The sequence below is a fragment of the Homo sapiens genome, chromosome 10, assembly GCF_000001405.40.
Source record: "Homo sapiens chromosome 10, GRCh38.p14 Primary Assembly".
NCBI classification, from domain to species: Eukaryota; Metazoa; Chordata; class Mammalia; order Primates; family Hominidae; genus Homo; species Homo sapiens.
Window position 1 is genome coordinate 132,584,381 of NC_000010.11, and position 19,907 is coordinate 132,604,287.

Here is a 19,907-nt window from a genome sequence, read left to right on the forward strand (position 1 = left end):
AGGTTTTTGATATGACTCAAATTTCTTTAATAGATAAAAGTTTTCTATTCATTATGTGCCAAGTTTTGTTTTTTAAGGAATAAATATATTTTAAATTTATTTTCTGAGGAAAACATAAACTTAAAAATTATTTAAATGATCAGTCTACTTCATGTAAATTATCAATTTGTTGATACAATGTTCACATATTCTCATATTATTCTTTTAATGTCTATAGTGATAACCCCTCTTTGATTCCTGATAGTGGTAATTTGTGTCTTTTATTCTTGATCATTCTACCTACTGGCTTATTAGTTTTGCTAATCTATTTAAGAACTAAAAAAAATTGTTAATTTTTAAAATTGTCTGTTTTTGTGTTAATTTACTTATTTTTGAGACAGGGTCTCCCTCTGTCACCCAGGCTAGAGTGCAGTGGCCCACTCACAGTTCCCTGCCTCAACCTCCTAGGCTCAAGCAGTCATCCTGCCTCAGCCTCCCAAGTAGATGGGACTATAGGCACAAGCCTGGTTAAGCTTTTAATTTTTTTGTAGAGATGGGGGTTTCACTGTGTTGTCTAGACTGGTCTTTCCTGGCCTCAGGCCTCCCAAAGTGCTGGGATTTTTCTGTTTTCTGTTTTCTTGGTGACATGGAACAGTTATTTCCAAGGAACTTGTTTAATCAGACCTTCAGGGGCTTCTAGAAGGTCGCAGTTTTAACAGGACTGCAGTTGATTCCAGGTTTTGATTAAAAGTGTGCTTTGGGGAAGCAATTTTAAAATTCATTGACTACATATACAATAAAATGAAATTAGAAGTCATGTAACTGAGCCAAAAGTTTTTTTATACAAAGTTATTAACAGGTACCTAAATAAAATATGTTCTTAAAAATGAAATAAAATGAAATCATTTGTATACAAGTACAGTAGTCCTCCCTCATCCATGGTTTCAGGTACCTTATGTCATTGCGGTCAGAAACTAGGTAAGATATTTTGAGAGAGCGAGAGAAAGCGCGAGTGCGAGCACATTCATGTAACTTCTTTTGCCGTATATTGTCCTAGTTGTTCTATTTTATTATCAGTTATTATTTATCTCTTACTGTACCTAATGTTAAACTTTATCATGGATATGTATGTATGTATAGGAAAAACCATGGTGTATATGGGGTTTGGTACTAGCTGCCGTTACAGGCGTCCACTGGGGGGGTCTTGGAATGTGTCCCCTCAGCTACGGGGGATGCCTGTGTGCTGGACTGGAAGCTCCACAATGGTGAGAAGCATTACCAGGGCAAAGCCAGGAGCAATGATGACAACCCTGGATTCCCAGGTCTCACGGAGCCTCAGATACCACCATCTCTTTCTTCATCCTTTTCTTGCACTTCATTCTTTTTCCACATCCTCTGCTTCTGGGGTGGCCCCTGTCTTATTTCATTTTCTGTGTGACGCTCCCCACAGATGTGTGTCGTCAGCGGCTGCCCTGCAGGTGGAGTGTCCTTTCGGGTGTCCACTGCTGGTTCCTGCTAGCAGGAGCAGATGACACTGCAGCCTCTGTCCAAGCGTGGATCCCACCCTGAGGGTGCTGTGTGTGTCTGGGCTTCCCTCTGGGTCATTGTGAAGCAGCCTCACCTCCTTGGAACTGGAGGCCTCCCTGGACCTCGCCGCTTGTCCCTGAGACCTGGCCAGCGCTTCTGTCCGGGGGCCAGTGGTCAGGTGATCTTAGGGACACGTCTGCCCTTTGGGAAATGGGTGTGCCTCTGGAGACCCGGGCAGAGACTGGCCTCGTGCAGCTGGGGCTGGACGCGCCCTGTGCTTCTGGGGTGCTGACCCTCCTGGGCCATCAGAGGTGGCTCTCTGTCAGGAGAAGCAGACTTCGGGCCTTCTCCACGTCTCCCCCACCTCCGACTCTGTTACTGCAGCTGGGTTTTGTCAGCAGCAGAACAGAAGCCAGCACCCTCCAGGACGGGGACTTGGCACACGTTTGGTTTTTTGTGAGGAGAGCAGGGGGCTCTCTGGACCATGGGCGGGGCTGCCTCCCTAGGGGCTCACAGCTCCGTGGCGACCTCGTCACCCTTCCCCACAGAGTGCCGCATGGCTGGCAGGGTGGGCACGACACGCCGTTCCCCAGAAACCCAGTTGACTTCCTCTGTGGGAAGTGGTCAGCCGAGTGTCTGGTGCTGCGGAACATCTGGAGGCGTCACTTGGCATGGGGGACTGGAGGTCACCATGGGTGGCCTGGAAGGGTGGCCGGTGACGACGGGCTCCTGTGAAGTCACTGGAATCTGGAGTGAAATGGCTGGTTACGGATACGTGCGCCAGAGCCTCGTGGTGATGGCGCTGCTGGTGATTTTAACTCTTCTGTGCTTCCCTCCCGCTGAATTTCCCCAAATTTCTGAAACAAGTATGATTGACTTTTGAAAAGCAATTTCCATTTAAGTTGAACAGAGAAAGAAACATGCATGCATGTCAGGAGGCGGCGCAGCGCGGCGAGGCCACGGTTCTCTCCTGCGCGTCAGAAGGCGGCGCAGCGCGGCGAGGCTGTGGTTCTCTGCTTGTGCCCACTTTGTGTTTGTAAATAGCGAGTCGGAGTCGGAGCTGGAGCTAGTTTTTCATCATCTGTCGGCTTCTGCAGACCAATGTCATCATTCCCCGTCCCCTGGGTGGCCCCTCCCCCGCCATCGTTACGCTGTCATCAGCAAGATCACTGTCACTAGGACTGCGTGTATTCCAGTCACAGCTGAGCCATGTAGTGTGCTATGACTTGATTTTTTCAGTTTTAAAAAATAATACAAACACATTTAAAAAACAAGAGAGCCAGTGTGAAAACAGTAGGCAATGAACAGTGTCCACAGAACTCAGAGGGCGGACAGGAGATGGACCCAGGGCAGCTTGGGCCCGTTCCTCACCTGTTACCTGCTGGCAGCAGGAGTGAGGGCCGTGTCTGGGCAGGAGGGGCTGGTACATCCTCACAGGGGTGGCAGGGGGTCCGATTGAGGAGCAGTTGGGTGGCCCAGCCTGCTTCTGCTGCTGCCAGCACAGCCCATGGTGTGCTCTGTGGGGCTGGCAGGGATCCTGGCATGGCCTGTGTGATTCGAGGTCAGAAATCATGACGGGGAAAGGATGCGGCCATACCAGACGGAACCTTTGTCCACAGGGTCCCTGTAACCAGAGCTGTTGGGACGCGGGGAGCAGGCGAAATTTCTGGGCCAATGTTTAAACCTGCCTGAACTCCAGCCTCTCCCTCTTTGTTGTTTGTATGCCGTGCTCAGAAGCTAGCCAGAGGATTCCGTTCAGAAACGGGGCCTGTAGATAATTGCGTTTTGTGTATGCCATGATTTCAAAGTTATACTTGTGTTGTTTCTTAGAATTTGGCCGGGCATGGTGGCTCATGCCTGTAATCCCCCAGCACTTTGGGAGGCCGAGGCGAGGCGGGCAGATTATCTGAGGCCAGGAATTCGTGACTAGCCTGACCAACATGGTGAAATCCCGTCTCTACTAAAAAGACAAAAAATTAGCCGGGCATGGTGGTGCACGCCTGTAATCCCAGCTACTTAGGAGGCTGACACAGGAGAATCACTTGAATCCGGGAGGCGGAGGTTGCAGTGAGCCAAGATGGCGCCATTGCCCTCCAGCCTGGGCAACAAGAGTAAAACTCCATCTCAAAAAAAAAAAAAAAAAAAAAGGATTTGATCCTCTCTAATGATAAGTTGTCATTTTAAATAGATTCTAGGGTATGCAGCCCTTTTCCCAGTGGATTCAGTTTGCTAGCAGACATCTTTTGGAGAAATTTGCCATCATGTGTAGACTTAAGCTGATTTTGTCTCTGTATTTGATGAAAGAGGAGGATATTTCTGAATTATCTCTCATCAGAAGGTATCTGTTCCTCTGTGTCCCCGTTTTCTTTTATAGTTCTCTTGCTCTGTGAGGTTCAGCTAACAGGAATAATATTCTGAGAGAAAACTGAATTTCGAGACAGCTCTCTGTCCTACTCGGGAGACGCAGCTTGCAGACTGGGTCCTTTCTCACGGGCCTTCCTCCTGCACCGCCTGGACACAGTTTGTGCTTCTCATTTGGTGGAAGGCCCAGTCGTTACTTCCTTTTACAAAACTATTTTTAGCTGCAATGTATTTATGGCTGCACAGACAAGAGGACTTTTCTCATGAAAGGAAATGCTTTTCCACAGGGATAAGCGAGTCGTGCGGGGCAGGATTTCCTGAGGAATCAGCAGCACGGCCCTGGGTTCCCACCCCCCAGCACAGCGCCCACCCTGTGTCCCCAGGAGGCCTTAGCCTGTGCTGCGTCTACAGGGTTAAGGCACCCACAGTGCTTTTTTTTTAAATGACTTGTATTTGAAAGTTTTAAGGAAGTCTTTGGAAGGAAATGAGTTGACGTTCTGGTGTGTGTCACCATCGGTGGTTGCCGTTTCTTGGAGTGTGGGTTGTGGTCCCGCTTTCTGGTGTATGTCGCCATCAGTGGTCACTGTTTCTTGGAGTGTGGGGTGTGGTCCCGCGTTCTGTGTGTGTTGTCATGGTGGTCACTGTTTCTTGGAGTGTGAGATGTGGTCCCACGTTCTGGTGTGTGTCGCCATCGCTGGTCACTGTTTCTTGGAGTGTGGGTTGTGGTCCCACGTTCTGGTGTGTGTCGCCATCGGTGGTCACTGTTTCTTGGAGTGTGGTGTGTGGTCCCACGTTCTGGTGTGTGTCGCCATCAGTGGTCACTGTTTCTTGGAGTGTGGGGTGTGGTCCAGGGTGTGGGGGCTGCTGCCCAGGCCTCCCGGCTTTTGTGGATTGGAATCCACATCTGCGCCACGTGCAGGGTTCCTGCCCAGTCTCTGAAGCCCACTAGTCCTTCTGACCAGGCGTTCACTCTGCCTGCCTGCTGAGGGAGCGCTGGGGTCGTTTGACAGGCGGCACCCACACCCTGCAGGGCCACGTGCGCATGCGGGCTCGAGGAAGCTGTGGGAGTGCCTTCCCACTAGGCTTGCTGTGCGGGTTCTTGAGGCAAAGGGAAGGTGGAGTTTGCAGAAGGTCCTGGATGGTGGGTCAGAATGTGGGCACCTGGTTCCAAACCCTGAGGGTCCCTTTGCCAGGGCCTCCGGTAGGGGCCGCGGTCCAAGCCGAGGCACTCGCCCCTCCTGTCCTTCCTCAGGCCCCACTGGCCACAGCCTCCACTGCTTCCAGCATTTTCTTCCTGTTGGGACGGAGTCCTGCCTTGGGAAGCCTTCTGCCTGTAGAGGTTTCTTGCCGGTGTGCACTGCACAGCTTGTGGGTCTTGTGTGTCCCAGAACCCCGAGTGCTCCCTGCCAGCCAGGGCCCAGGCAGTGCTTGGTGAGTGGGAGAGGGATGGCCCTGCTGCCCTGTCCTCCCAAACGGTGTTGTCTCATGGCCTTCAGAGAGCAGACAGACCAGAGGTGGCCTCGGACTCCAAGAGACGCTCCTGGCTTTCCACTCTCGCCCTGTGCAGACCAGCAGTGCGAGGGGTGTTGTGGGGTTAGGGGGTGACGCAGGTTATCCCATGCCAGGGAGCCCACAGCCTCCACCCAGGGCCACGCCTGGCGCCAGCACAGGGAGGTCACAGAGGAGGCTGGAGCAGGGCGTGGTGGGAGGGCACCGATGTGCAATGCCATGCCAGGCCTCGGGGAGCCCCTCGACGAGACCCATGGCTCCTGCACGGATGGTTTCACATTGTCAACACGGCTGGAAAAGGACACGGTCTACAAGTGGAGGCTCGAAGGTGGCTGAGAGTTATGGCACCTGGGCTTTCCAGAAGTTGGCTTGAAATAATTGGTCAAGGTATGTGGCTGGCGAGGGACGCCAGGGATGCGGCCTCCTGCAGTGGTCAGATGCCGTCCTGTGGGATGGGGCCTCCTGCAGTGGTCAGATGCCGTCCTGTGGGGAGGGACAGTGTGGCCTTCATCCGTGGTGACGCCGTCCTGTGTGGGGACTGACAGTATCGTCTCCGTCTGTGATGATGCCGTTCTGTGTGGGGAGGGACAGTGCGGCCTCCATGATGTCCCCCACACTGTCCGCGCTAGGAGTGCAGGTGGTTTCCAGCAGCTGTCTGCCGGCAGGGAGGCTGGGAAGTCAGGCTGGCTGTGTCCAACACCTCCTGGGGCACAGAGGAGTGTGGGGGAGACACTGTTGGAACACAGGTGTGGACATTGCGACACGTGTAAAGATGTCAGTGGGGCCTGCGTTCGAGGATGTTCCGACCACCATGCTGGTCGCACCCTCCAGCGATGGGTCCTCGGTGCAGTGATCTCAAGCGTCGCGTCTAGAATCACCGCACCCCGTTGCTTCCAGACAGCCTCGGTAGCGTTGAGTCCCCTCTTCCTCTTCCTGGATGTACACAGGGGCCACGTGCCGTCTTTGGAGGTCGTGAGTGTTTGAGTCTTTTCATCTCGGCCCCTGCTTTGCTCTTTCTGGCATTGCCATCTGAAAGAGTCTAGCCCACTTGTCTTTAGGGCAGCCTGCCGTGTGGGTCACTGTGGTCATTGCTCGCTCCGTGGTTAGCTGTGTCCTGTCCGTGGTTAGTTAGGTAGTTGGTTGCTCCATGGTTTTCACTTAGAGATTTTGGGCAGGAACATTACCAAGGTGAGCTTGGGCGCTTCTTGTGCCATCAGCTCTGGGGGCCCAGGCTGCTGTCACAGGGAAGGTGGCATCGCCCCACTCCCAGCTTGGCGGGAGGAGGCTCCTCATGTATGACGCCATTTGGGGATCTTCTGTGACTCCTCTATGGGTCCTTTGCCCGTTTTTCCATCAGTTTTGTTTTGTTTTGTATTTTCCCTTGACTTTTAAGAGTTCTTTCAATTGCAAGAAGATTAATTATCTGTGATATATATTGCAAATATTTTCAACCAGTTTGACATTTGTCTTTTGATTTTGCCATGCCAAAGTTTAAAAAAAGTTAGAGTTGACTCACTCTTTTTAAGGATTGTGTTTGGATTTTGAGTCATAGTTTATTTTTCCATATGAACTTTAGAATCACCTTGTCTGGTTTGGGCTGGGCGGGGCGGGCCGCTGGCAGGCTGTGGGACAGGCCAGGGCTATTTCTGCGCTCGCTTGGAGAGGACTGACAGCTCTATGGCGCCGAGTCATGGTCCCTGGAAACAAGAGAGGTCTTTTCATGGACTCAAAGCTTTTGTTCGTTTCCTTCAGGAATGTCTTAAAGTTTTTCTCTTACACAATGTTCACATATGCAAAAGGTCGTTTGTGAGGTTACCTTTTTCCTTGTTGCATTGGAAGCGGGCCTTCTCTTCCAGCAGGCCTTCCGCCTGGTTGTTGTTGGTGTCTGTGATGGCTGTTGTTTTGTCTGTTAATTTCAGGACCTCCTGCTTTCCTGGATTCTCCTGTTGTCTGTCCTTTTTCTGCCTGCTTCTCTGCCCCTCCAGGTGTGCTGTGACGCCATCTGCAGGTGCAGGGAGCTCAGATCTCCTTTCCCGGAGCTGCGCCTCTGCATGTGTTCCCTTTCGGGTCTCATTCCCTCCCCCGATATGTCAGGTGAAATGGCACTGGGCGTAACGGGCGCCCTTGCTGTGTTTCCTTGTCCGAGGGAATGACTGGGTTTGCCCAGGAGGAAAGAGCCGGCTCTGGGATGAGGTGTCAGCGTGTGTGGGGTGGGATGTTTCGAATCCACGTCTCATGTGGTATTCAGCGTGGTATTCAGCGTTGTTGCTATTAAACAAGAAATAATAACAGTGAAAAGACAAAGCGTTTCACTTATAAGGCTAGAGTATAGAACTGTGCCATAAATGAGGGAATTACGGAAGGATTATATAAATCCAAAAATTATTGAATAAAATACAGAAAAAAACCCCAGAAAGACAGCAAATTAAGGAAATGGCAACAGTTTGAAAACATAAATGAAGCACACATTTGGTAAAGCTACCTGAGAGAGGGAGGGGCAGGTTGACTGCATAGTAGTGTGAGGAACAGGAGGATTCATACAGTTTAACAATCCATTGTAAGATAGTTTGTTAACTATTCGGGGAAAGGTTTAAATTGGGGTCTTACTATAGACATTATACCAAAACAAAATCTAAGTGGGGCAAAAATGTTTGTTTGTTTGTTTGTTTGTTTGTTTGAAATGGAGTCTTGCTCTGTGGCCCAGGCTGGAGTGCAGTGGCACGACCTCAGCTCACTGCAGCCTCCGCCTCCCGGGTTCAAGTGATTCTCCTGCCTCAGCCTCCCAAGTAGCTGGGACTACAGGCGGGCGCCACCACACCCAGCTATTTTTAGTAGAGATGGGGTTTTGTGATGTTGGCCAGGCTGGTCACAAACTCCTGATCTCAGGTGATCCGCCCGCCTTGGCTTCCCAAAGTGCTCGGATCACAGGCGTGAGCCACCGTGTCCGGCCAAAAATGTTTAAAATAATATTAATTTTATTTTCTGATACAGGCATGTATAGTCCTAATCTGAGGCACACGCAGGACTTTCTGTGCTGTGTAACAGGTGGCCACGGATGTCGTGGCTTAAAATAACACCAGTTTGTTGTTTCATGCTTCTGTAGGGTGGAGTCAGGGCTCAGCCTGCTGGGTCCTTTGCTCAGGTCTCACGCGGCTGCAGTCAGGTTGCCTGTTCTCAGTGGGCTGTGTTCTCATCTGGAGGCCCAACTAGGCAGGGCCTGCTCTCAGACTGCCTCAGGTGCTTGGCAGATATCATTTCCCTGTGGTTGTAGGACTCACAGCTTCTTGTGCCAGAGCCTATCGGGGAGAGACTGCCCTCTGCTTACAGCCTCAGACCTTTAGACTCACTCTGAAGTGGCTCTTCGATAAGATGAGACCCACCCAGGATTATCTCCCTTTTGATTAACCTAAGATCAGCTGGAGATGGAGCTTCATTATGTCTGCCTGACACTTTCACCTTTGCCTCAGCCTATGCATGGGCGCGCCGTCTTCCCCGGTTCATAGGTCCCACCTGCACTGAGGACGGGGATTACACTGGATGTGAATGCCGGGGCGTGGGGAGCCCTGCGGGCCTGCTGGGATCCTGCATTACAATTTTATGACAAATGGTTGTTGACTTTAATTGAAGAACTTTTCAGTAAACTTAAAAAAAATTAACCTTCATTTATTACTTCTCCATCATTCTTCCTTTCCTATGTACATCCGGAATTTTGAGTTGTGTCATATTCTCCTTCCTGAAGAACTTTTTCAACATGACTTACAGGGCATGTCTACTTTTTTGTGTGAGAAAGTTTATTTTTCTTTCACTTTCGAAGGATGATTTTGCTGTACACATGACTGGGGTCGGGGGGTAGTCCCTCCAGTCTCTTCTTGCTGGTGTGGTTTCTGTTGACAAGTTCACTCTAATTCTTGTCCTTGTTCCTCTATAGCTAAGATGTATTTTTTTCTTGCTTCTTTCAAGATTTTCTTTATTTGTGATTTTCTACAATTGGGATATGATCTGCCTAGGTATAGATTTTTTGGTATTTATTCTGCTTGATGTTCTCTGGGCTTCGTGGATCTGTGGTTTGGTGTCTGGCACTAATTTTGGAAATTTTCAAAGCTCTTATATGTTGCAACTGTAACTGGAATTCTTTAAGTTTGCCAGGAACTATAAAGATAATCATTAGACTTTTTTAGATCTGTTGGTGTGATCAGTTGTATTAGCAGTTTTCCTAACAGTGAATCATCCATGTCTGTATGTATAGAATAGTCACTCGCTTGCTTACTATGTGTGAAGTTTTTAACGTGCTGCTGGATCTTTGGGGTGTGTGTCGTGGCACACACATGAGTGCACACATGAGGCTGGTTTGAAGGTTTCCCTTTTGCACATACGCTGTCTTCATCCTGTTTATATGCCAATGTTATGTTTGTCTCATAATAGGAACTTAGAACTTTCCTTCTTGTGCTGTGATCTAGAGCTGTGCTGTGTAGTAATGTAGCCTCTAACCGCGTGTGATTATTAAAATTTAAGTGAACTAAAATTACATGCAATAAAAAAACTGTTCAGTCACCAGTAGCCTCATTTAAAGGACAGACGTGGCTAGTGCAGGTCTAGAACGTGTCCATCACTGCGGAACGTACTGAGACTTCCTGCGTCGGTGGAAACATTCCGTCATCTACACCGGCCAGTCCTGTAGCAACGGCCTAGGTGGTTTTTGAACGTGTGTGTGTAGGTGTGCCCACACGCATAGGCATGTGGTGAGTGTGTGGGGTGCGTTTGCATGCCTGTGCACGGGTGGTGTGTGGTGCATGCGTGTGTAGGTGTGCCCACATGCACATGCATAGGTGTGTGGTATGTGAGTGTGTGGGGTGCGTTTGTGTGCCTGTGCATGGGTGGTGTGTGGTGCATGCATGTGTGTGGGGTGCATATGTGTGGCGTGGTGGGTGTGTGTGTGCCTGCACGTGTGTGGCATGTGTGTTTGGGTGGTTGTCTTTGCTGGCCCAGTTGTAGCAGCTCTTCCTGAGGTGGGGACCTCTGCCCCACAGCTGCCTGCCTGGAGCTCTCTGGTAGGCGGTCCCCCTGCCAGCCCTGCAGGCTGTATGAGGTTCTCCATGGTTCTCCCCGTCTGCCATTTGCCCTTTGTTATTGCTCTTAGTGACAGGCAGTTATTTAACATTCTGGCCAAAGTGGCTTTCGTTGTTTTCTTCTTCCTAAAGCCTTTAAAATTAAGAGTTAAAAAATAGGAAAGTAATGCGTGATGATTATAGGCATGTTAAAAATAAAGAAGAGAAAAAGAAATACCTCTGCCTCAAATACCCACTCCAACCTTTGGGCGTTTTTTTCTGTCTTTTTCCCTTTTCCTATTGAGAATACCATTGGGAGTGCTGACAGCGCTCGGCATGAGGGGCTCCTGTGACGTGCTGGCACCCTTTCTGGAGTCCCCGCGGACCCTCAGGGGCCAGCTGTGCCTTTGCATTGGCCACAGCGAGGAAGGGGGCCAGGGCATGCAGTTTCTGCAGGGCCACGTCTGCAGGTGGCCATGTGGGCTGCTCGCGCCGGTGGGGGCTTGTGTGAGGTGTGATTTATTTTGTGTTCAATCCATTTTTTTAGAGTATAAGTGTCTTCCATGTCTATGTGCTCATTGTAAATCTTTACTTTGATAACATATACCTAATACTTGTTATTTTAACCACTGGTAACTGTGTAGTTCACTGCCGTCCTCACCTACATTGTGGTGTTTGTTGGTGAGTGTGTAGCTCACTGCCTTTCTTACCCACATTGCGGTGTTTGTTGGTGAGTGTCTGGCTCACTGCCTTTCTTACCTACATTCCAGTGTTTGTTGGTGAGTGTGTAGTTCAGTGCCTTCCTTACCTACATTGGGGTGTTTGTCACTGGCACCCTGTCTATCTCCACGTCATGTTTTATCCAATAAATTTGTTTTTGATTCCTCCCTCTTCTTTCCTTCCGTGGACGCCCTGTGTAACTTTCTTTATTGAGGTGCCTTCTGTAATATTTTTCTGCAGTATTCTAATTGTAATTCTCTTATAAATGATGCTATTATGAACTTCTTTGTTGACAGAGCATTTTTGCTCTTTAGAATTACTTTTTTAAGGACTGACTCCCAGAAATAGAGTTCCACATTTGAAAGTAATGAGTTTTTTTTTTTTAACATTTCCCATATTTTCATAGTTTTTGTATTGTTCTTTGAGACCAAGAGAAGAATTTTTGGGTGTTTAAGAGAAAAAGAAGGCATGTGCTTTCTTTCATATGGTGGCTGAACACACGCAGAGCTGCTTGGCCTGTGGGCTGAAATTTGAGCATTTCTTTAAGACCTAGTTTGTTTATTTTTTACTCTCACTTCAGTGGTTTTAAAAATAACTACATTAACCAAACGTGGCTGTACCTCCGAGGACTTCTTGCCAGAGCTGCTCCTGGGAAAGGGTTCAGTCTCTCTAGTTTGTGCCCATCACCCAGTGGGACAGCTACATGGACGTGGCATGGCGGCGTGGCGGCATGGCCCAGTAAAGACCAGTTTGGGCAGGATGAATGGCCCTCAATTAAAGGGTGTCGTGGTAGGCAGGGTCTAATTTTATAAAAGCTTCTGGCACATGTACATTCAAAATTTCTTTTTTGTCTTTGATCTTGGCAGAAGAGGACACCCAAGTGTGTGTGCGTGTGTGTGCATGTTTTGTTTTGTTTTTTTTTTTTGAGATGGAGTCTCGCACTGTCACCCAGCTGGAGTGCAGTGGCACCATCTCAGCTCACTGCAACCTCCACCTCCCAGGTTCAAGCGATTCCCCTGCCTCAGCCTCCTGAGTAGCTGGGATTACAGGCACCCACCACCATGCCCGGCTAATTTTTTTGTATTTTTAGTAGAGACAGGGTTTCACTATGTTGGCCAGGCTGTTCTTGAGAATTCCTGACCTCGTGATCCACCCTCCTTGGCCTCCCAAAGTGCTGGGATTACAGGCGTGAGCCACCACGCCCGGCCCATGTGTGTGTGCATGTTTGTGTACGTGTGTATGCATGCATGTGTGTTTGTGTGCAGGCTCCTGTACATGTGCGCGTTTGTGTGTGTCCATGTGTTTGCTTGTGTGCGTGTGTGCATGCGTGTGTGTGCATGTGTGTGCATGTGTGTGCATGCACGTGTGTTTGGAGGCTCCTGTGCATGTGTGCATGTGTGCGCGCATGTGCACGCATGTGTGCGTGTGTGCACACATGTGTGCGTGTGTGCATGCGTGTGTGCATGCACGTGTGTTTGTGTGCACGCTCCTGTACGTGTGTGCATGTGTGCATGTGTATGCATGCATGTGTGTGTGCAGGCTCCTGTACGTGTGTGCGTGTGTGTATGTGTGCATGTGTTTGCATGTGTGTGCATGGGTATGTGCACGTGTGCATGTGTGCATGCATGTGTGTGAGTGTGTGTGCGCATGTGTGCGTATGCACATGCACTTGTGTTTTCATGGCCGAGGGTTTATTTTCTAGTAATTTGAAGCCCTAAGTGACAGAACCTTTTCTGTTCTTCTCAGTGTTTGTGCTACTGTCCTCTCCCTCTTCTCTCAGTCTCAGAAGATGTGTCAGGGTGTCTGGATGTGGTCTGTCAGCTCATCCACAAGGACTCGGGCCATCTCCCCTGTTCCTGCAGGTGGTGGGAAGTTTCTATATCCACATTTTCTTCATTGAGGATATTGTGGTTTGTTGTGAAAGTGCTTACATTCAGTGGGATAAAATTTGAGTCACATATTAGGATATTATATTGTTATTTCAGTTGTGAATTTTAAGAAATTATATAATTTCTTACACATCTTCAGGAATGCATTAGGCAAGTTAAACAATAGTGTTACATGTTGGGGATATGTTTATATGCAGAGCGGTTGTAAAAACTGTATTAACATCTGTGTGCATTGCACGTGTCTGCTTGTTCCTCTGTTTCCAGTGTTTTGTCCTTTAGTGTGTGCTGCAGCGCTGTGCTACGTGTAGTGACCCTGGGCCTGTGGTGCGTCCTGCGGGGCTGTGCTACGTGTAGTGACCCTGGGCCTGTGGTGCGTGTTCCGGGGCTGTGCTACGCGTAGTGACCCTGGGCCTGTGGTGCGTGTTCCGGGGCTGTGCTATGCGCAGTGACTCTGGGTCTGTGGTGCGTGTTCCGGGGCTGTGCTATGCGTAGTGACTCTGGGCCTGTGGTGCGTCCTGCGGGGCTGTGCTACGCGTAGTGACCCTGGGCCTGTGGTGCGTGTTCCCGGGCTGTGCTACACATAGTGACTCTGGGCCTTTTGGGCAGGTCTCAGATTTACTGTCTGTTTTAATTTCAATTGCAGTTTTTGTTTGATTTCGCTTGGGCGTCTGGGACCTACCCTTCCTACTGCTAGGGTCAGAACTTTCTCTTTTTTTCATTTTATATGAGGTGAGTAAAGTGCAGCTCTCAGACGTGTGGAGACTCAGTGTGTGGCTCGGCTGCTTGAGTGGCGCTGTGGCGATGGAGATTACCTCCACCTTTTTAATGCGGTAAAATGGGTATAAAATTTTCCATCTTAACCATGTTTAAGGGTGCAATTCAGTGGCATGAAATGCATTCATAATGTTGCATAACCATCACTGTCATCCATCTCCAGATCTCTTTTAATCTTGTAAAACTGCAGCTCTGTCCTCGTTAAACACTGAGTCCCTGTCTGCCCCCAGTTCCTTTGTCACCAACATTTTACTTTCTGTCTCCATGAATCTGATGACTCCAGATATCTCACATGAGTGCGATCATACATTCTTTGTCTTTTTGTGTTTGGCTTATTTTCCTTAGCATAATGTTCTCAAGGTTGTTGCATAGTCAGAATACCCTTCCTTTTTAAGGCTGAGTTATGTGGATAGACCACAATTGTATCCATTTGTCCGTGGATGGACACTTGGGTTTCTTCCAGCTTCTGGCTGATTGTGGGTGTACCGATATCTGTTTAAGTTCCTGCTTTCAGTTCTTTTGGGAATTGTATTAGTTCATTTTCATGCTGCTGATAAAGACGTACCTGAGACTGGGAAGAAAAAGAGGCTTAATTGGACTTATAGTTCCGCATGGCTGGAGAGGCCTCAGAATCATGGCAGGAGGTGAAAGACACTTCTTAAATGGCTGCAGCAAGAGAAAATGAGAGAGAAGTAAAAGCGGAAACCTCTGATAAGCCCATCAGATCTCTTGAGACTTATTCAGTATCATGGGAATAGCACAGCAAAGACCAACCCCCATGATTCAATTACCTCCCCCTGGGTTCTTCCCATAACAGGTGGGAATTCTGGGAGATACAATTCAAGTGAGATTTGGGTGGGGACACAGCCAAACCATATCATTCCATCCCTGGCCCCTCCAAACCTCATGTCCTCACATTTCAAAACCAGTTATGCCTTCCCAACAGTCTCCCAAAGTCTTAACTCATTGCAGCATTAACCCAAAAGTCCACAGTCCAGTCTTATCTGAGACAAGGCAAGTCCCTTTCATGTATGAGCCTGTAAAATCAAAAGCAAGCTAGTTACTTCCTGGATACAATGGAGGTACAGGTATTGGGTAAATACAGCCGTTCCAAATGGGAGAAATTGGCCAAAACAAAGGGGTTACAGGGCCGATGCAAGTCCGAAATCCAGCGGGGCAGTCAAATTTTAAAGCTCCAAAATGATCTCCTTTGACTCCTGGTCTCACATCTAGGTCACACTGTTGCAAGAGGTGTGCTCCCACGATCTTGGGCAGCTCCGCCCCTGCGGTTCTGCATGGTACAGCCTCCCTCTCGGCTGCTTTCATGGGCTGGCATTGAGTGTCTGCGGCTTTTCCAGGCACACAGTGCAAGCTGTTGGTGAATCTGCCATTCTGAGGACTGGAGGATGGTGGCCCTCTTCTCACAGCTACACTAGGCATTGCCCCAATAGAGACTCTGTGTGGGGGCTCTGACCCCACATTACCCTTCTGCACTGCCCTAGCAGAGATTCTCCATGAGGGCCCCACCCCTGCAGCAAACTTTTGCCTGGACATCGAGGCATTTTCATACATCTTCTGAAATCTGGGTGGAGGTTCCCAAACCTCAGTTCTTGTCTTCTGTGCACCTGAAGGCTCAACACCACTGGCAGCTGCCAAGTCTTGGGGCTTCCACCCTCTGAAGCCACAGCCCGAGCTGTATGTTGGCCCCTTTTAGCCACGGCTGGAGTGGCTGGGATGCAGGTCACCAAGACCCTAGGCTGCACACATCATGGGGACCCTGGGCCTGGCCCATGAAACCAGTTTTTCTTCCTGGGCCTCTGGGCCTGTGGTGGGAGGTGTTGCCATGAAGGTCTCTGATGTGGCCTGGAGACATTTTCCACATGGTCTTGGGGATTAACAACAGGCTCCTTGCTACTTACCCAGATTTCTGCAGCTGACTTGAGTTTCTCCCCAGAAAATAGGTTTTGCTTCTCTATCACATATTCAGGCTTCAAATTTTCCAAGCTTTTATGCTCTGCTTCCCTTAGAAAACTGAATGCCTTTAACAGTACTGAAGTCACTTCTTGAATGTTTTGCTGTTTAGAAATTCCTTCCACCAGATACCCTAAATCATCTCTCAAGTTCAAAGTTCCACACATCTCTAGGGCACGGGCAAAATGCTGCCAGTCTCTTTGCTAAAACATAACAAGGGTCACCTTCGCTCCAGTTCCCAACAAGTTCCTCATCTCTATCTGAGACCACCTCAGCCTGGATTTTACTGTCTGTATTGCTGTTGGCATTTTGGGCAAAGCCATTCAGCAAGTCTCCAGGAAGTTCCAAACTTTCCCACATTTTCCTGTCGTCTTCTCATCCCTTCAAACTGTTCCAACCTCTGCCTGTTATGCAGTTCCAAAGTCTCTTCCACATATTCGGGTATCTTTTCAGCAATACCCCACTCCTGGTACCAATTTACCGTATTAGTTCATTTTCACACTGCCAGTAAAGACATACCTGAGACTGGGAAGAAAAAGAGGTTTAATTGGACTTACAGTTCCACATCACTGGGGAGGCCCCAGAATCATGACAGGAGACAAAAGGCACTTCTTACATGGCAGTGGCAAGAGAAAATGAGAAGGAAGCAAAAGCAGAAACCCCTGATAAACCCATCAGATCTCATGAGACTTATTCACTATCACGAGAATAGCATGGGAAAGACTGGCCCCCATAATTCAATTACCTCCCCCTGGGTCCCTCCCACAACACATGGGAATTCTGGGAGATACAATTCAAGTTGAGATTTGGGTGGGGACACAGCCAAACCACATCAGGAATATAGCCAGCAGTGGAATTGCTTCACTGTATAGTAATTCTGTTTAATTTTTGGAGGAGCTGCCATTTTTCTTCATAGCGATGGCACCATGTTACATTCCCACCAGCAGTGCACAAGGGTCCCATTTCTCCATCTCATCCCAACACTTATTATTTTCTCTTTTCAATTTTAATGTTTTGTATAATATCCATCGTATCCATCCTAATGGGTGTGAAATGGCATTTCATTATGGTTTTCATTTGCATTTCCTTAATGATTAGTGATAATGAACATCCTTTCATGTGCACGTTGACCATTTCATATGTCTTCTTTAGAAAACTGTTTAAGTCCTCTTCCTATTTTTAATGGGGTTGTATGTCCTTTTGTTGTTGAGTTGTAGAAGGTTAAAAATATATTCTGAATATTAACCCGTTAGCAGACACATGACTTGCAGATATTCTCTTCCATCCTGTGGCTTGTCTTTCATCCTATTGATAGTGGCTTTTGATGCACAAAAGTTGTTAAGTTTGATGTCCCGCTTGTCTGTTTTTCCTTTTGTTGCCTGTGCTTTGGATATTGCATTTAAGAAGTCATTGTCAAATCCAGTGTCACAAAGTTTCTCCCCTATGTTTTCTTCTAAGAATTTTTATAGTTTTAGATTTTTGATCCATTTTGAGTTAATTTTTGTCTGTGGTGTAAGGTAAGAAACCAGTTTCATTCTTTTGCATGCGGTTATCCAGTTTTCCCAGCCTCATTTGTTGAAAGGACTGTTCTTTTCCCCAGTGAATGGTCTTGGCACCACTGTCAAAAATCATTTGACCATATTACAAGGCTCTTTATTCCATTCCATTGGTCCACATGTCTGTCTTGTGCCAGGACCACACTGTTTTGACTGCTTTAGGTTGTAGTAAGTTCCACATAAGGAATTGTGAGGTTTCCAATTTGTTCTTCTTTTTTAAGGCTATTTTTGGCTATTCAGGGTCCCTTGAGATTCCATATGAATTTTAGCGTGGACTTTTCTGTTTCTGCAAAAGAAAGTCATTGGGATTTTGATATAAATGGAATTGAATCTGCAGGTTTCTTTGGGTAGCATCAGCATCTTAATAACGTTAACTCCAGTTTGTGAACATGGAATGGATATCTGAATTTCTTTCAGCAACATTATGTAGCTTTCAGTGTTCAAGTCTTGCCTCCTTGGTTAAGTTTATTTCTAAGTTTTTTATTCTTTTCGATGCTGTTATAAATGGGATTTTAAAACATTTTCTTTTCACATTGTTCATTGTTAGTGTTGTTTGTGTGTTGATCTTATATCCTGCCACGTTGCTGAATTGCTGAATTTTTGTGACGGAGTCTCGTTCTGTCACCTAGGCTGAAGTGCAGTGACACAGTCTCGGCTCACTGCAACCTCTGCCTCTGGATTCGGGTGATTCTCCTGCCTCAGCTCCCGAGTAGCTGGGACCACAGGCATGCACCACCATGCCTGGCTAATTTTTTGTATTTTTAGTAGAGACAGGGTTTTGTCATGTTGGCCAGGCTGGTCTTGAACTCCTAACCTCAGGTGATCCACCTGCCTCTGCCTCCCAAAGTGCTGGGATTGCAGGTATGAGCCACTGCGCCCGGCCTTATTTCTATCAATTTTTTGGTGGAATTTCTAGGGTTTTGTATACATAAGAGCATATAGTCTGTGAACAGAGATAATTTTACTTCTTCCGTTCCCATTCGGGTACCTTTTCTTTCATTTTCTTGCCTAATTGCCCAGGCTGGGCCTACCAGTGCAGTGTTGAATGGTAGTGATGAGCGCGGGCATCCTGGTGTTCCTGCTCTTAGAGGGAAAGCTTTCTGTCATCCACTATTGAGTGCATTCACTGTGGGTGGTAATCTACAGGCACGTTCTCTCTCAGAGGTCCTTTCTTTCCTTTTGTGTCTAGAAAGGCTGTTTTTCTACCACGATGACAGCAATTTGCTTATTTTCTCTCCTGATTCCTTTGTGGTTTCAAGTCTTATGTTCATATCTTCTGAATCTATCTGGAGTTTAGTTTCTTTGTGGAATAAAGAAAGGATCTAATATAGCATTTTAAAAGTAAATATTTAACTAGTCCTAGTATTGCTTGTCAATTAATGCCTCTTCCCTCAACAGTGTGAAATGCCTCAATCTCTCCTGCTGACGTCTCTGCCTTCCGAAGCTACAAAGGGGAAGAGTTGGGCCTTCTGGGCGGCTGTGGGCCAGGCTGCCTCTGGCATCTTGGTCTCTCATGTGGGTATTCTCTATTAGGGGCTGTATAGCAAACACGCTAAAGATCATCTCAGTTTTTTAGTACTTCTCACTAAAATGGAATCATTTTATAAGGTCTGTTTCTCCCTTCCCTTCAGAATATGCACTATAGAAAATTACAGATCACTCCAGCTCCCACTACCCAGAAAGAACGCTTGTCCACGTGGAATAAACGTCATCCCAGTCTGCAGAGCTCCAGCAAGGAGGACAGGCTGTGCTTCACCAGTTAAATTTAATCCTGCTCAAATTGTCAGGAGAAACAGACACTGAAGTGAAACTCAAGGAACTTCTGAATTTGAGATAAATATTTATTGGTGCAAGAGATAAAGCTCTACAATTCCTCTAAGGATAAGAAAACTTTTCTAAACTTGAAGAATGTAGCGTTTAAGAATACATTTTAATTTTAGAGCACGTTTATGAATGCTCTGGTTTGGAAGGTATCATGATTCTTAGGCAGCCTCTCAGCTCCTGGGCCCCACTTGCTGATTTAATAGATTCTATTACTTGTGTTTTGTTAGTTTGTAACAGAGACACTCTGTTCCACCTTTCCCTGCCTCCGTTTTCAGCCCTTGGTTCTGTACTGTGTGGACATGGTGTGGGTCACTGTGGTCTTTCCTTTCTGACTTCTGGGCTCTGCTGCATCACCTGAGTTCTGCCCTGCGCCGTCAGGGTCCCCTCTCCGTCCAGCCCTGCGCCGTCAAGGTCCCCTCTCCGTCCCGCCCTGCGCCGTCAGGGTCCCCTCTCCGTCCCGCCCTGTGCCGTCAGGGTCCCCTCTCTGTCCCGCCCTGTGCCGTCAGGGTCCCCTCTCTGTCCCGCCCTGTGCCGTCAGGGTCCCCTCTCTGTCCCGCCCTGTGCTGTCAGGGTCCCCTCTCCGGCGCACCCTGTGCTCCTGTGCTGTCAGGGTCCCCTCTCCATCCTGCCCTGCACCGTCAGGGTCCCCTCTCTGGCGTACCCTGTGCTGTCAGGGTCCCCTCTCCATCCTGCCCTATGCTGTCACGGTCCCCTCTCCATCCTGCCCTGTGCCGTCAGGGTCCCCTCTCCAT

At 48.2% G+C, this 19,907-nt stretch overlaps 1 protein-coding gene across 6 annotated transcripts in view, besides 2 other annotated features; it reads left to right on the top strand.

Moving 5' to 3' along the window:
* INPP5A (inositol polyphosphate-5-phosphatase A) overlaps nucleotides 1–19,907 on the top strand; it is a 245,694-nt gene that overhangs the window by 46,594 nt on the left and 179,193 nt on the right. The gene's annotated exons all lie outside the window — the stretch shown is intronic.
* Nucleotides 8,587–8,666: an enhancer, noted in NCBI's record as "active region_4234". NCBI's record gives its function as "activates an Ori minimal core promoter by ATAC-STARR-seq in GM12878 lymphoblastoid cells {active_cell/tissue: GM12878}" and the evidence as "EXISTENCE:reporter gene assay evidence [ECO:0000049][PMID:35858748]".
* Nucleotides 9,046–9,125: an enhancer, noted in NCBI's record as "active region_4235". NCBI's record gives its function as "activates an Ori minimal core promoter by ATAC-STARR-seq in GM12878 lymphoblastoid cells {active_cell/tissue: GM12878}" and the evidence as "EXISTENCE:reporter gene assay evidence [ECO:0000049][PMID:35858748]".